The 16,940-nt window shown below is 36.1% G+C and overlaps 2 annotated features.

The window, feature by feature from the left end:
• Positions 15,321 to 15,821: an enhancer, noted in NCBI's record as "H3K4me1 hESC enhancer chr3:107127651-107128151 (GRCh37/hg19 assembly coordinates)". NCBI's record gives its function as "activates a minimal SCP1, AML or CMV promoter by ChIP-STARR-seq in primed H9 embryonic stem cells {active_cell/tissue: H9 hESC(primed)}" and the evidence as "EXISTENCE:reporter gene assay evidence [ECO:0000049][PMID:30033119]".
• Positions 15,822 to 16,322: an enhancer, noted in NCBI's record as "H3K4me1 hESC enhancer chr3:107127150-107127650 (GRCh37/hg19 assembly coordinates)". NCBI's record gives its function as "activates a minimal SCP1, AML or CMV promoter by ChIP-STARR-seq in primed H9 embryonic stem cells {active_cell/tissue: H9 hESC(primed)}" and the evidence as "EXISTENCE:reporter gene assay evidence [ECO:0000049][PMID:30033119]".

Here is a 16,940-nt window from a genome sequence, read left to right as displayed (position 1 = left end):
TTTTGCACATTTCCTTTTACTTTTTTAAAATGGTGGCTACCAGATAATTTAAAATTATGTGTGAGAGGCTGGGTGTGGTGCCTGGCCCAGCACTTTGGGAGGCTGAGGTGAGCGGATCACTTGAGTTTGGGAGGTAGAGGCTGCAGTAAGCCATGATCATGCCACTGCACTCCAGTCTGGGGATGGAGTGAGACCCTGTCTCAAAAATAAAATAAAATAAAAATAGTAAAATAAAATTATATATGTGATTCATATTTTATATTGGACAGAGCTGGTATAGGACACCTCCTTCTACCTATGTGGATAAGAAGGCAAATGGAAAATATTATATATTAATTTTATTCTCATTATGTGAGATATAGATTTGCATAAAGCAATTGATATCTAAAAATTTATTAGACAAAAAATTTTATTAGACACCTTTTCAGCATACCTCAAAGCCTTCCTCACTAAATCAGCATTGATTTTATGTTTCTGTGCTAAGCAGTGGCAGATTTACTTTGCATCCAGTTTGCATTCTGGGAATCATGTTTTTTTTACTGTATTTTTTAGAGCAGTTTTACATTCTCAGAAAAATTTAGCAGAAAGTACAGAGAGTTCCCTGTTCCCACAGGCACAGTCTCCCTCACTATCATCATCCCACACCAAACTGGTACATTTGTTCCAATCTATAAATCTACATTGACACATTGTATCACCCAAAGTCCCATAATTTATATTAGGGTGCATTCCTGGTGTTGTACATTCTATGGGTGTGGACAAAGGAATCATTTTTTAAAAAATGTATGTTACATATGACATTTCTGTTTTTCTATTAATATACATGGCCTGAAATGTATATTTCATAATAAATGGAATTGCAATGAGGGTCTTCACTGGTTTAAAACAAGCCTTTTTTTGTTTAAAACGCCATATTGTTGTAGAACATTTGAAAAAACCAAAAAAAAAAAAACATTCAAATAAAGTAAAGAAATTAACCATGGTCTTACCGCTCAGGAAAAATAAAAAATTTGTTTGTTATTTTAACAATTTTTCAGTTTCTTCTGTGTATTTAAGCACATATTATGATCATTACATAATATAGTTTAATAGTTGTTTAATCACTTAGTAAATATATGAATATTTTCCCATGTAATTATTTTTTAAACTGAATAAATAATAGTATTCCATTATATATATGTGCCATTATTCATTTTACCAATCTCCACTGTGATTATTCTCATATACAGATTTCTTTTTACATCTTGACTATTTTCCTTAAACATACAGGACTGTGTCCTAAGAAACTGCTGGGTGAAGGGTAAGGGGATTGACTATGGATATACATTGTCAGTTGTCATCCCAAAAGTTTGTATGGCAACACTATTTTTGCAATACCCTTGGTGAAACCAGGTATTAAAATTTAAAAAATATTCATCAATTTTAAAAGCAAAACTTGCTGTTTTAATTTGCATTTTTGATTGAGATTGAACATTAAAAAATATGTTAATGAGACAAAAATGTTTCTTTTGAGTGGTCTGCTCATGGTTATTGCTCATTTTCTGCTGTATAGGTATTTATCTTATTATTTGTAAGATGTCTTCTAATGTAAAGATATTAAACGTTTAGCTGCCATTAATGTCCAAAATATTTTTTCCAAGTTACCATTTGCCTTTTAATTATATTTATGGTGTTTTAAACAGAGATGCTTTTAATTTTTAGGTTAATCCACTTATCAATCTTTTTATTGATTCTTCCTTATCTATGTTGTAATCAAATAAGTATTCATTTGTGTTTTAAAATAGACCTTAATTTTCAAATGGCTCACTCTACTTTTTCTGGATTTATTTCATTTTGGTGTATTTATGAAGTAGAAGTTATAATTTTTTTTCAAATAGTTGACCAATTGTTCTAACATCATTTTAAAAATAAGCAATCTGCCCTCACTTTAATGCTTGCTAAATTCTTAGCTATACTAGGGTCCTTTTGCACTCCGTTCATATGTTCTTGTTTTCAGACACTGATTCCACATAGTTTTAATTATTATTAATCTCTGATAGTATACCTCCTCTTTTAATAATCTTCTTTTTCCAGAAACTTGATTTGTAGTGGTTATTGTCTTCACTCAATTCCTTTAGGGGAATATCAAAATTATTTTGTAAAGTTCCTCCTTCTTCCCAAAGTTATCACATTGAAATTTTAATTTGTTCAATTTTGAAATTAACCTGGGGCGATCTGACAAACTGCTTTGAGGATTAAAATAAGAGAAGGCTTTGTGTATGTGTCCTTTCCAGTCAGACTCTATGATTAGTGTTTTGTAAAATATTTGTGACATTTCACAATAATCATATATTTTTTAAAAAAAACTGTTTATGAAAAGTACTTGTTGGCATTGTCTGAATAGGGAATGGATTTTAAATAAAGGGAAAACAGAAAGAGGGCTCTGTATATATTGCTTATAGGACATAAAAGAAATTGGCTAATTACAATGGACTTTCTAAATTAAGTAAAAATAAACCAATGAAGAGGAGAAGATAGAAAAGAAGATAAGGGAAAGAATAAGTGAAAGGAAATGAAATAACATTAGACCAAGAGCAGATTATGAAATAGAGAGCTGAACTTCTAGAAATTTTTTTTAAAGCAGGAGAAAGAAAGAGAGAGAACGAGAACATTCTTGATGTAAACTGAAATATTCAATTCAAACACTAGAAAGCTGGCACAAAGTTACTTTTAATTTTTATGTTAACTGATAAATGAAAGAGGACCTAGAAGGTAAAGGGGAAAAAATCCTATTTTAGCATCGTCAAAGAGGATTTAAAGAGATATATTTCTTGTAAAATGTATAAATGGGTCATGGAATTATTTCTTAAAACACTGTACCAATATTTTCTATATATATATTTCATTATTTGAGTATAGAAAATATTTTGTAACTTGTTCTTCATGTTTTGTAATTTAATACCTGAGAATCCCTGGTCTTACTGAAGAAGTTTTACTTTTATCTATAATAGTGAATTATCTTCATTTGTTATTTCTGGGCAGCTTTTCACTGTAATGTCTAGCTATTCAGGAAAAAAAAAGCTATTAAGGAAAAAATCTACTAAAATAGATTACTAATATTTAGTTTTATAGAAAAAATAACTTAGGATACATTATAGCTATGCTTTAATAAAGGGCCGTGTGGAATTTGGATTTAAGGGTTCTCAGTCAGATTCCCTCACTAATGCAATTGCAGATTCCTACATTTCTTCCTGAAGGTGGCAGTATTTTAGTGACAAAAACTGACAACAAGCTGAGGAACTGTACCAGAGCTCTCGGAGATCAACAAAGGTGCCGCTTTTGAATGTGAAAGTTTTTTCAAGACTTTTCTATTTCTTGGTTTGAATCGTGTGCCTGTAGGGACACATGCTACCTGCTTACTGGACAGTGACTACTTAGGATAAGGACTCAGGCAAGTAAGGTTGCATTTTAGTCTCTCAGATATGGGGGGAAAATTTTGGTGACATTGGAGAGAGAGATAAATGAAATATTTTATTAAATTTAGAATTTAATGTAAAGTAGCATATACAGAGGCAAGAAACAGAATAATGTGTTTTATGGTTGTCAGCTACCATCTTTAATTGGTGAGTGACCATTTCATTTGTACTGTTACTTTTCTTAAGAGACAAACAAAATTTTCTAAGTGTTTGTAGATGTAATGACTATGGAAACAAAACCTTATTTTTGTTAGCAATTAACACATTGCCAGAAGAAATGAGAGCATTAACAGATTTTGGAACAAATACCATATTAACAATCAAAAGAAAATGACTTTTATACGTGTTAAGCTGCAAATTCTGGGAGGAGAATGTGTAGACGTCTATGTATATATGTGTTAATTAACTAACATGGGGAAATAAAGAAACATAAACAAAAGTAAATACAGATGAACAAAACTTATCTAAAAAGTGAGTTTCAAACTGGTTGTGTTACTTAGTTTATTATGATATTTTAAATAACCAATAAACATTAACAGTGTTGATGTTTCTGGTTAATTCATCATTTACTTTGATTGGACAAGGACATATTAAAATAGGCTGGCTGATTTGTGGTACTGTCTGTTTGCTGAAAATATCTGTATTATAGTTCTTCCAAAGGAACTAGAAACTACAGAGCCCCAAGCGACACTGGATTTGTAGTCCTCTGAAAGTTGTCACCGATAATGGAGATAAACTTGTTCTTATAGTAGTAGCAACATGATATTTTATTCAGTTTATAATATCCTTAAAAATTATCTTGAAAATAAAATATTTATCCTTCAGGTTTTTCATAAATTCAGTGACAAAATTCTCCTTTCTGTGCTAGCTATATAAATTGTGCCAATTTATGTTGACATTCCATTTATGAGTGAAGTCCCACAAAGTTTTTGCTGGTTTTTCAAAATGTCAATCTCTACATTTATAGACACCTTAGGGATATTTTCTTATACATCCCACTAGCTAGTGAACTAAAACTCTCTATTCTTGCATCATAGGTATTCACTGAACTCTATCTTTTCTCTTCTTTTTTACATTATACTGTCAATGTCTACTAGATTCACAGCTACTCTTTTCAAAAAAAAAAACATTCAATTCTTTACTTTTTTTTTTTTAATACAGAGAAGTTTTAGATTCACAGCAAAATTGAGCAAAAAGTACAGGGAATTCCCATATACCTCCTGTCCCCAAACATCCACAACCTCCCCTGCTGTCAACATCTGGCACCAAGGTGGTACATTTGTTCCAATCAATGAGCCTGCATTGACACATTATTACCCAAAGTCACTAGTTTACAGTATGGTTTACTCTTGGTGCTGTACACTTTATGGGTTTTGACAAATGTTTAATGACATGTGTTCACCATTGTAGTATCATATGGAATAGTTTTGCTGCCCTAAATAACTTCTGGGCTCTGTCTTTCCTTCCCTCTTTGCCCTCTAACTTCTGGCAGCCACTATTTTTTTTTTTTTTACTGTCTCTATAGTTTTGCCTTTTCAAGAATGTCATGTAGTTGGAGTATGAACCCTTTTCAGATTGGCTTCTTTCACTTAGTAATATGCATTTGTTTCTTCCATGTCTTCATGCCCTGATAACTTATTTCTTTTTAGTGCTGACTAATACTCCATTGTATGAATACACCACAGTTTCTTTACTACTGAAGGAGATCTTGGCTGCTTCCAAGTTTTGATAATTATGAATAAAGCTGCTAAAAACATCTGTGTGAAGCTTTTAGGGTGGACATAAGTTTCTAGTTCATTTGGGTAAATACAATGAAGTGCAAATGCTGAATTTTATGGTAAGTGTATGTTTAGTTTTGTAAGAAACTGCCAAACTGTCTTCCGAAGTGACTGTGCCATTTTGCATTCCACCAGCAATGAATGAGAATTCTTGTTGCTTTAACATCCTTGCCTGCATTTGTTGTTAGTGTTTTGGATTTTCGTCATCCTAATAGGTATGTAGTCGCATCTTGTTTTAATATGCAATTTCCTGATAACATATGATTAGGGAAATTAATATGTATCAGAAAATTATTTTTCTTAGCATTTTGCTACTTTTGCTCAGAATTTTGCCTATAAGACTCATCTATGTTGTTCTATGTATCAGTAGTTCATTCTTATTGCTACGTAGTATTCTTTTGTATTTATATACTGTAATTTGTTTATTCATTCTCCTGTTGATGGACATTTAGATTGTTTCCATTCTTTGGCTATTGTGAATAAATTTGTTATGAACATTCTTGTGCAACTCTTTTATTACAGTAATATGTTTTCATTTCTCTATGATAAGATACAGGAGTTGAGTTGCTATTTCAAGTAGATGTATGTTTAACTGTAAAAAACTGCTTAGCATTATTGCAAGGGATACCATTTATCTGTCAGTAAAATTTGAGAGTTCTTGTTGCTCTGCATCCCACCAACACTTGGTGATGTCACTTTCTGCTTTTATTCATTGTGTAGGTGTACAGTACATCTCAGTGTGCTGGGCTTTAAAAAATTATTAAACTTTATATTTATTTATTTATTTAAAATTTTTTTTAAATTTTTTTTTTTCTTTTTTTTTGAGACAGAGTTTCGCTCTAGTTGCCCAGGCTGGAGTGCAATGGTGCGATCTCGGCTCACCGCAACCTCCACCTCCTGGGTTCAAGCAATTCTCCTGCCTCAGCCTGCCGAGTAGCTGAGATTACAGGCACTTGCCACCACACCTAGCTAATTTTGTATTTTTAGGAGAGACGGGGTTTCTCCATGTTGATCAGGCTGATCTCAAACTCCCGACCTCAGGTGATCCGCCTGCCTCGGCCTCCCAAAGTGCTGTGATTTCAGGTGTGAGCCACCGCGCCAGGCCAACTTTATTTTTAAAAGCAGTTTTAGGTTCATAGCAAAATTGAGAGGAAAGTGTAGAGTTCCCGTTTACCTCCTGTCCCCACACATGCACAAAGCTCATAGTTTATATTAGAGTTCACTCTTGGTGTTGTACATTCTATGGGCTTTTAAAAATGTATAATTATTTCCTCCCTTCCTTTTGTATCATTGCTGTTATTCATTTCATTTATACATAAGCATATATAATCAAATGCATTGTTGCTATTATTTTGAAGAAAGTATTATCTGTTAGACCAAGTAAGAATAAGAAAAATAAGTTTTTATTTCACCTTCATTCAGTCTCTGACGCTCTTCTTTTCTTTACGTAGATCTGAGTTTCTAGTCTATATCATTTTCCTTCTTTCTGAACAACTTATTTTAACATTTCTCAGTCTACTGGCAACAAAGGCCCTCAATTTTTGTTTGTCTGAGAAAGTCTTTATTTCTCTTCCACTTTTAGAGGATAATTTCATGGCGTACAAAATTCTAGGTTGGTGTTCTTTTTTTCTCTCAACACTTTAAGTATTTCACGCCACTCTCTTCTTGCTTGCCTGGCTTCTGGGAAGAAGTTGGATGTAATTCTTATCTTTGTTCCTTTGTAAGTAAGGTGCTTTTTATTTTCTTCTGCCTTCTTTCCAAAAAATTTTTTTTTTGTTTCTGAAGTTTGAATATGGTATGCCTCGGTGTAGGGGTTTTCATTTTGTTTTTCTGTTTTGCTTTTTTGCATTTATCCTGCTCGCTGATCTTTTGAGTTTTCTGTATCTGTGGTTTGCTGTCTGACATTAATTTGGAGGAAATTCCCAGTCGTTATTGCTTTAAATATTGCTTCTTCCCCTTTCTTTATGTCTTTTTCTTCTGGCATTCCTATTACGTTCATGGTATATCTTTTTTAGTTGTCCCAGAGTTCTTGGATATTTTGTTCTCTTTTTTTTTCAATTTTATTTTTCTCTTCACTTTTAAGTTTTGGAAATGTCTATTCATATCTTTAAGCTCAGAGGTTCTTTCCTCAGTTGTGTCCAATCTACTAATGAGTCCATCAAAGGCATTCTTCATTTGTAAGTGTTTTTGACCTCTAGGCTTTCTTTTGATTCTTTCTTAGAATTTCCATCTCTCTGCACTATCTGTTCTTGCATGTTGTGTACTTCTTCCAGTAGAGCCCTTAGCATATTAATCATAGTTGTTTTGCATTCCTGGTTGGATAATTGCAACATACCTGTCATAGCTGACTCTGGTTCTAATGCTTGCTCTGTCTCTCTAAACTGTGTTGTTTGCCTTTTAATTTTTATATTCTGTATTGTATGCCTTATAATTTTTTGTTGAAATCATACATGGTATATATGTAAAAGAAGCTCTAATAACTAGGCCTTTAGTGGTGTAGTTTAAGGTATGAAGGAAGAAAAGCATTCTGTATCCTATGATTAGGTCTCAGTGTTTCTGTAGGCCTGTACTTCGCCAGTGCTTCTCAATGCTATTTCCCCTATTAGGCTGGACAGGATGGCTACAGAGGGCTGGCATTGGATATTTCCCTTCCCCTGCGCAGGTTGGGCTCTGATAAAACTCTAGCAGGTTAGCTTCTGGTCCTGAGGACAGGACTTGTTAAAAAGAACAGATAGATTCTTTTTTCATTCCCTCGCCAGAAGCATAGGGAGATTTTTCTCCATTATTCACTATCAGGACATGGACATGGTAGAGTTCCCAGAGGTAAAATTCACAAAGCATGAGGGATCCCCTATGCCTGGGTCCTCCTAAAATTGTAAGGTCTCAGGCTGGTTCTCACTCAGCCTCTAGAAGTTCAAGTTTTCCCGCTCTGCTACTAGTTTAGGCTGAAGTTTTCTAACCTGCCCCTGGGGTTTCTGCTGTGGTAAATTCCAATTCTCTGTATTTGCTTGTTGCTCTCTTCAAGTTTGGGGCAGTGGTTTGCCCTGTGACCTCACTTCTCTGACAGCGCTAAGTGCTGTTGATTTTTCAGGTTGTTCAGCTTTTTGCCTCTTGTTAGGAAGTGTGACAACTTCTAAGTTCTTCACAGGCCAGACTAGAAACGGAAAGTCTCCAGTTCTTTACTTTTTAATCACAGATGTGAGCCTGCTATGCAGAAAAATTGAGGCAATGTCCATATATTCATCTGATTTTTGTACCTAATGCTTTGGAAACCTTTTGGATAAAAATATTAATGAAATATAATTTTTACATTCTCCTGAAATAGAGCAGAATAAGCATGAAAGAAGTACAGAGTAATTCTAGCTTCATGTTGGTATGTAAAACCTGAGATAAGCAAAATTCTAATTTTTAAATCACTCACTATTTGTGTATGGTTTCAAAGGCATTATGAAATGTTTATGTAGACATAATACCAAACATGAACAAAATTCACTCCTACCTCATTTATCCCCTGACTCTTCTCTAGAGCCCTTACTGTTAGTGGCACTGAACCCAGTTTGGTGGTAGAAGGAAGACAAGCACAAGTTGACTACATTTTAAAAAAAATTTTCTTTGTTTGAATAGTCACAAAGAGGTTTTGTTCTGAAGCTATCAAAGTACAAAATGTTCCTAAACTATTAAATATTTCACCAATATGGTTAACTTTTCCACATGGATTATAATTCCTGAAAGCTCAGAAAATATTTTTTGGAGAGACTCTTGTTCTCTGAGACAGCTCTGATTGTTGGCATTCAGTAAGCAATGCATGCTATTTTCCCAATTTTGGCTCCCCAGAAAAATAGGTCCCTAATACCTTATAAGTATTGTTTCCACACTTTTATGCATAGAATAATATAACTCAATGGACATAAGGATCAAAGATGCTATGAAAACTCATAGGTGAGTAAAATTAGTTTTGATTGAGGAATGAAGACAAAGATCATAAAAGCTAATGGCATTAAACATTTTAAGACCAGTAGTATGCACCAACAGCTTTAAAAATCTCCATGCCCATTTGTCTAGGTATTCCACTTCAAAGTTATTGCAATTACAAAGTTATTCATCATAACACTATTTAAAACAGCAAAACAACTAACATCTGGGAAATAGGAAAAACCAAGTAAAAATGTGATCCTGTCAATAGAAAGCCATGAAACCACAGGAATAACTTTGAAAATGTTTGTCTTCCATGCCATTAGCTTCATTATCTTTTTGATCCTTTGACTAAGGGTAATTTCACTCACCTATAAACTTGTACATTATTTTTGATCATTATGTTTATCAGATTACAGAATTTATGTATTTTATTGACACCCATTAAACTATAAACTTGTTGAAGTGAGGGATTTTGTCCTTCTCATCTATTTTTTTAACATGGCATATACCATTATATTCTTCGAGAAAAACATAAATGAGAGACAAAGTCTGTCAAATGAATTTCAGTTACCATGGTTTAATAAATAGTACCAGTACCCTCATAACATGGTTCAAGTTTTAGTTACTAAGGTATATTATCAGTGACTAATTACATAAGATACAAACTTTGTTGCTGGGGACAATGTCACCTGCAGTATGTTGCAGTGTCCAGGAAGTGAACTAAAGACTATGGCTGCCATGTCAAATCCTCCAGTAGAACACTCACTCTTCCCTCTAGTTTTTTTTTTTTAAATCATGACAGAAAACACATAATATAAAATATATTCTCTTAATCATTCAAAGTGCACAGTTCAGTGGTATGAACTATATATTCATTTGTTGTATAACAGTTCTGTAGGACATTTTGATCTTGTAAAACTGAAACTCTATACCCATCAAACAACTGCTTATTTTTCCCTCCCCTCAGTCACAGGAAACCACCATTCAACTTTCTGTTTCTATGATTTTGTCTGCTAGATATTGCATGTAAGTGGAATTGTACAGTATTTGTCCTTCTGTGACCCTCTAGTTATGTTGTGTACCTAATTTGTCATGTGGCCATCTCACAGAGGGAAGGATGAAGAAAGGGAACCATGTGTATATACTGTATTAAATATTGGTTAAGATTATTTTTCTGATTTTTCAAAACAAAAATTTATAATTAAAAGTTCTCACGTTTTCTTTCTCCAGCCTAATAGGTGCTTTTGTATTAACCCAATGTCAATACCCTCTAGCCAGAAACCCACCTGTAGCTGAAAAAGTTGAGTTTATTTCTCACTGCAGCAAGACAAAAATCATGCCAAGGGAACTGTTTCAGTAAGAGGATGTTAAGAAAGGTGTATTAAAGAACTGGGGCTTTGAATGGGTGATTTTGAAAAGAGTCTAGGGAAACAATTTATTCTGCATAACTGCTGTCAGGAAGTGAAGGAAATTCTATGATTGGGTATCTCAATAAACCTTATTTATAAAGAAGGCAGGTGTATTAGACCATTCTTGCATTACTGTAAAGAAATATCTGAAGGCTGGGCGTGGTGTCTCACACCTGTAATCCCAGCACTTTGGGAGGCCGAGGTGGGCGGATCACTTGAGGTCAGGAGTTTGAGACCATCCTGGCCAATATGGTGAAACCCAGTCTCTACTAAAAATACAAAAAAAATTAGCCCGGTGTGGTGGCGCATGCCTGTAGTCCCAGCTACTCGAGAGGCTGAGGCAGGAGAATCACTTGAGCCCTGGAGGCAGAGGCTGCAGTGAGCCCATGTTGTGCCACTGCACTCTAGCCTGGGCAACAGAGCAAGACTCTGTCTCAAAAAAAGAGAAGTATCTGAGACTTGGTAATTTATAAAGAAAAGAGGTTTAATTGGCTCACGGTTCTGCAGGCTTTACCAGAAGCATGGTGCTGGCATCCGCTGGGCTTCTAGGGAGGCCTTAGTAAGCTTGTAATTATGGCGGAAGGCAACAGGGGGGCAGGCATGTCACATGGTGAAAGCAGGAGCAAGTGAGAGAGAGTTGTGTCTGGGAGGTTTCACACAATTTTAAATGACCAGATCTCACGAGAACTCGCTATCAGGAAAACAGCACCTAGCCATGAAGCCTCCACCCCTATGATCTACACACCTCCCACTAGGCCCCACCTCTAGCATGGCGAGGGATTACAATTCAACATGAAATTTGGGTGAGAACAAAGATCCAAACCATATCGCAGATTAGAGCAAGGGTAAAGCTATAATTAGTAAAGAAGCAACAGGGACTCATATTAGCTAGGAGAAAGAGATGTTTGGTATTTTGTGGGGTTTCTACAGTGGCCTTATTTTGATGTGTGCTTAGATAAAATAATGAAGTGGACTTATTAATATTTTGTTTCACTTTATCATGGTCTCAGAGTGGCTTTGTCTCATGCTGCTGTTTTGTGAGATTGCTAATGTTCAACAGAGCAACAATATGGCCTACCCACTAGCATTGGTCCAGTTTGTGATAACACTGAGACCTGGTTGTGTCAGATTAGTTTCTGGATTTAGGGCCTGCTATTTTCTTGTTCATCACTTTCATAGACATGTAGGGTTGAAATCAGAGAAATCTATGATGCAACTTCAATTTCGTTATTTACTTTCAGTGTGATCATGGGCAAATGATTTACTCTCTGTCACTTCAATTACCTATATGGTACCTACCTCAAAGGAACACAGTGAGCATTAAATGAGATAGAGCATCTGGAGTGCTGAGTAGATTGATTTGTACTGAGAGCTCATGTTAACAATAACTGCCTTTTATTAGCTCTCTCTCATGGAGGATTCTTTTTTTTTTCCATTTAAAAAACACACGTTTTGGGTGACTACCAAGTGTCAGGCACCACGCCAGGGATGCAATGATGAACAAGTCATCTGTGGCCTCTTCCTCACAGAACCTGCAGCCTAGCATGAGTAACAAACAACTAGACAGGCAATTTAACAGAGGGTAAAAGTTTCTACGAAAAAGGACTATAGGAGTCTCTAAAATAGCTTAGCAGGCCTGGAGAACTGTCTCTAGAAAAAAGTGTTGCTTATGATGATATCTAACAAAGGAACAGGAGTTATCTGTGATCTAGGTAGAAGGAACAGCATAAGCTAGGGCAGAAAAGTGAAAGAGAATATGGCACAGCCTGTTCGATGGAGAAACAAACAAATAAATAAAAAACAAAAACAGAAAGAAAAAGACTTGCACTTTTTAAGTGCACTCCATATGAAACAATTTCTTTTCAAGTCTTGTACATAATTTGATTTGCCACTGCAATAGTGATTACAGCTGATTAATTAATGATGATACAATGCTTTGAAAATACAAAGTGCAGCACATTTGCTAACAAAATGATGATTAATTAGCATGATTACTGTTTCAATATAGCCTCTGTTTACTATCTAAACTTGGACTTCCAAATGTCTGCTTGCCTTCACGCACCAAAGACAGCTGCTTCACAATGGTTTGGAGGCTATTTTTGGCCTTTCCTTCCCTGGGTTGTGAATGAACGTAGGACTAATAATGAAAGAAAAAAAAAGTGGTCAGAATGACTTCCAAGGTTTTTGCCTAACAAGGAATTCTACAATGTCTACTATTCTCTCTCTCTCAGTTTCTGCTACACTAAAATCATGCTGAAAAGTACTGGGAGTCTGTGCTATGGGGGCTTCTGGTGAAGCAAATGCACTGAGGGCCATTGTTTCAGTATATAAACTTTCTTGGTTAGGGTCCACTAAATAAACATAACTTCTTGTGGATTTCAATATCACCCCACTATTACATACAATTTCTAGAGAAATAACAGACTAAATGGGATTCTAGCAGTGTGTATTTTTCCCTTGATAAAAAATACTTCAGTGTTATCATCTTCTGCTATTAATTAAAAAAATACAGAAACAATGCTGCTGAGTTTTAATTGTTGATGAACATCTAAACGTGCTTAGTTTACAGTTAAACACTATCCAAAGTGATTTTTTGTTTCTGTAATGAATAACCAGGATAAGCAGATGTGGGTGGCAGCATCCTATTGATAAAAATCATCTTGGTTAATAGACATAGGTGCATCAAAATGTTGGATTTAACCCAGTCTGAAGGAAGTTTCTAGTGAAATATTGTTCTTTTTAGGATGTAGAAAGTTCTCTTCAGTTGTCCAGTGTGTCAAGTGACTCCTGCATTTGGCTGGCTGGCATGATAAGCTGATAGGAATTTGGCTTGGAGAGGCTGCACTAACAGATATTGGCCTAAAAATGGTTGCAGACATGTTTTCATTGCAGGTATTAAATGCTTGCAGCTATCTTTTGGCCTAGAGTATGTTCCTATTATTAGGTTAGTTCAAAAGTAATTGCAGTTTTCACCATTAAAAGTAATGCCACTAGATCTGCCTTAATAATAAGAACTTATTTCTGGTAGGGGAGAAAAGACAAATTCACAAATATATTTACATTAAATTGAGCAGTTTGTGGTAAGTATAGTAGGAGATTATATAAATCCATGCTGAAAAGAAAGCAGAGAATGGAGGAATTACTCTGAGCTGGGTATTTTTCATGGTGGAGGTGCCTTTAGGAATGGGTCTTGAACAATAGGAAGTATTTCAAATAGCAGAGATGGTATTATGGATTGGAAGAGGGAGAGCATTCCAGGACTTGGAAATGGCATTGAGCAAGAATGTGGGGAAAAGCTGGCAATAGTTATTGCGTCCTGTCTATTCTGTCTCTGAACTCTCATTACATTTAAAGTCATTATTGATAGGTAAGGACTTACTACTGACATTTTGTTGTTTTTCTGCATGTTTTGTGTATTCTTTTTCCCTTCTTCATCTCTTCTATCTTCCTTTGTGATTTGATACTTTTCTATACCGGTAAGCTTTGATTCCTTTCTCTTTGTCTTTTGTGTATCTACTATAGGTTTTTGTTTTGTGGTTATCATAAGGCTTACATAAAACACCTTATAATTATATTATTCTATTTTGAGATAACAACTTAACTTCAATTACATGCAAGAGCTCTGCACATTTACTCACCCACATTTTGTTTTTGATGTCACAATTTACATAATTTTATATTGTATATTCATTAACAAATTATTGTAGTTACAGCTCTTTTTAATATTTTGTCTTTTAACCTTTGTACTTGAGTTATAAGTGATTTACACACCCTCATTACAATATTAGAGTAATTGGAATTTGACTATATATTTACCTTTACTGATGAGTTTTATGTTTTCACATGTTTCCTATATTATTAAAATTCTTTTGTTTTAGCTTGTGGAACTCCTTTTAGCATTTCTTGTAAGGCAAATCTAGTGGCAATGAACTCCTTCAGCTTTTGTTTGTCTGGGAAAGTGTTTATCTCTCCCTCATTTCTGAAGGGCAGATTTGTGGGTAGAGTGTTCTTGGTTGTCAGGTTTTTTCTTTCTGCACTTTGTATATATTATCCCACTCTCCTGACTTTCAAGGTTTTTGCTGAGAAATTCCTGGATGGTCTTATAGGAGTTCCCTCATATGGAACAAATCTGTTTTCTCTTGTTTTCAAAGTTATTTATATTTTATTTTTGACAGTTTGATTATAATGTGTCTCACTGAAGCCTTCATGGGTTGAATCTGTTTGGGATGCTTTCAGCTTCATGTTCCTGGATGTCTATATCTCTCCTCAGATTTGGGAAGTTTTCAGCCATTATTTTCTTTAAATAAGCTTTTTGTCCCTTCCTCCTTTCTTTTTGTTTGGAACTCCCATTATGTGTATGTTAGCTCCCTTGATGGTGTCACGTAAATCCCATAAGGTTACTTCATTACTTTTCATTCTTTTTTCTTTTTTTCCCTCTGAGTAATTTTAAGTGTCCTGTCTTTGAGTTTGCTGATTCTTTCTTCTGCTCGATTGAGCCTGCTGTTGAAGCTCTCTATTGCATTTTTAGTTCAGTCATTGTATTCTTCAGTTCCAAAATTTGTTTGGTTCTTTCTTGTGTTTTATATTTCTTTATATCTAATTTTGTTCTTGTATTGTTTTCTTGATATTGTTAAATCATTTATCTGTGTTCTCTTGTATCTCATTGAGCTTCTTTAGAACAATTATTTTGAATTATTTGTCAGGCACTTCCTGGACCTCCATATTTTGGGGTTGGTTATTGGAAGTGTATCGTATTATTTTGGTGGTGTCATGTGTCCTTGATTCTTTATGATTCTTGTAGCTTTTTTTTTAGGTGTCTGCATATTTGAAGAGGCAACTACCTCTTCCAGGCTTTATGGACTGGATTTGGTAAGGACAGACCTTTGCCTATTGGGGTAAGGGAACACTGAAATATGCTTTGGCACTAGGTTTAGTGGCACTGGATCTAGAGACACATAGCACCAAATGTGGGGGCATACAGTGGCTCTGGCTTTTGGGGGCATGGTGTCTGGATGGTGCAAGCAGCTGCCCCTCTGACATTGGCACTTGCATGCTTCTTGGTGGCAAGAGCTATGAGGGGGCTGGTTCACAGTGGCTGTGAAGGCTGTTGGAGTCAACAGCGCCTCTAGGCACAGCAGCAAGGGACCAGGGAAAGCAGTGGTGGGGACTGCGGACAATGATATGCATCCACTTGGCTACAGGGACCAACTGTTGGGGCCAGCTAAAGGCACATGCACTGGTGGCAGGGGCTGGCTGCAGGCAAATACATGATGGTGAGGGCTGCTGCCAGTGGCAAGGGTTGGTCCAAGTGCAGTGCATGCGTGGCTGTGCGGGCCAGATGCATGTGCATGCGAAGCTTTGGAGGCTGGGGCTGGCATCATGCACACATGCAGCTGCAGGGGTTGGCGGTGGGCACACATGCAGAAGTGGGGGCAGCTCTGGCAGGGTGAGTGGTGTGGCAGCTCAGGCAGCTGGAGTCTGCAAAGACAAACAACTGTAAGCCCTTGGTGGCAAAAGCTGCCAGGATCTTCTGTGAAGCAGGCCACTGAGATTCATTACAACAAATATTGTGGATCCTCAGTGGTGAAAGCTGTAGGGACTCTGCAACAGTTGTGAGGGCTACTGAGGTCCTCAGTGGTGAAGGCTGGGTGAGGTGAAACACAGTGGGTCCTGCAGGCAGTTCCCCAAAAGTCTAGGGAAACTGGTTGTTCCCCTTACTCTCCCTTTCCCTGGGAGGAGGACTCGTGGCCTGGGAGTTTCCTCTCAGTGTATCATCCACAGAGATGGGATGATACAGGCAAAGTGAAACTGTTTTTCCTACCCATTTTGTGCCTTTTTTCTCAGGTATTTTACTCCACTGTGTTGCTGCAGCTTCTTAACTGGGCTCCTGAGCATCCCCAGAGCTATTTTTCTTCATGAATAGCTGTCTAATGGTTGTTTTTTTTTTTTTTTTTGTAGGGGTGCAAAGGCTAAAATCTTTACCATCTTGCTGATATCTCTTCTGATCTCTCATTTGAAGGGGTGACCTAATGTTTCAGTCATGTTGGGATAGTCCCAGTTTATAATCCTAGTTTATACCTCTTGCCTATGTTAACTGTGATCGGCTGAGTAATGTCCTTCAAAGATGTCCACATCTTAATCCCTGGAACCTATAAATTTGTACCTTACATAGTATAAGGGAAAGTACAGATGTGATTAATTTAGGGTCTTGAGATGGGGAGATTATCCAGGATTAACTAGGTGGGCCCAATGTAATCACAAGAGTACTTATGAAAAGGGGCAGGCAGATCAGAGTTAGTAGAGGGAGATGTGATAATGGAATGTGATAGTAGACGCATGAGGTTGGAGTGATATGAGAAGAAGCCATGAGCCTAGATAAGCAG

Source organism: Homo sapiens, chromosome 3, assembly GCF_000001405.40.
Source record: "Homo sapiens chromosome 3, GRCh38.p14 Primary Assembly".
Classification (NCBI taxonomy): domain Eukaryota; kingdom Metazoa; phylum Chordata; class Mammalia; order Primates; family Hominidae; genus Homo; species Homo sapiens.
Note: the sequence above shows the minus strand (reverse complement) of the source record. Positions and strands in the feature narration are given on the sequence as shown.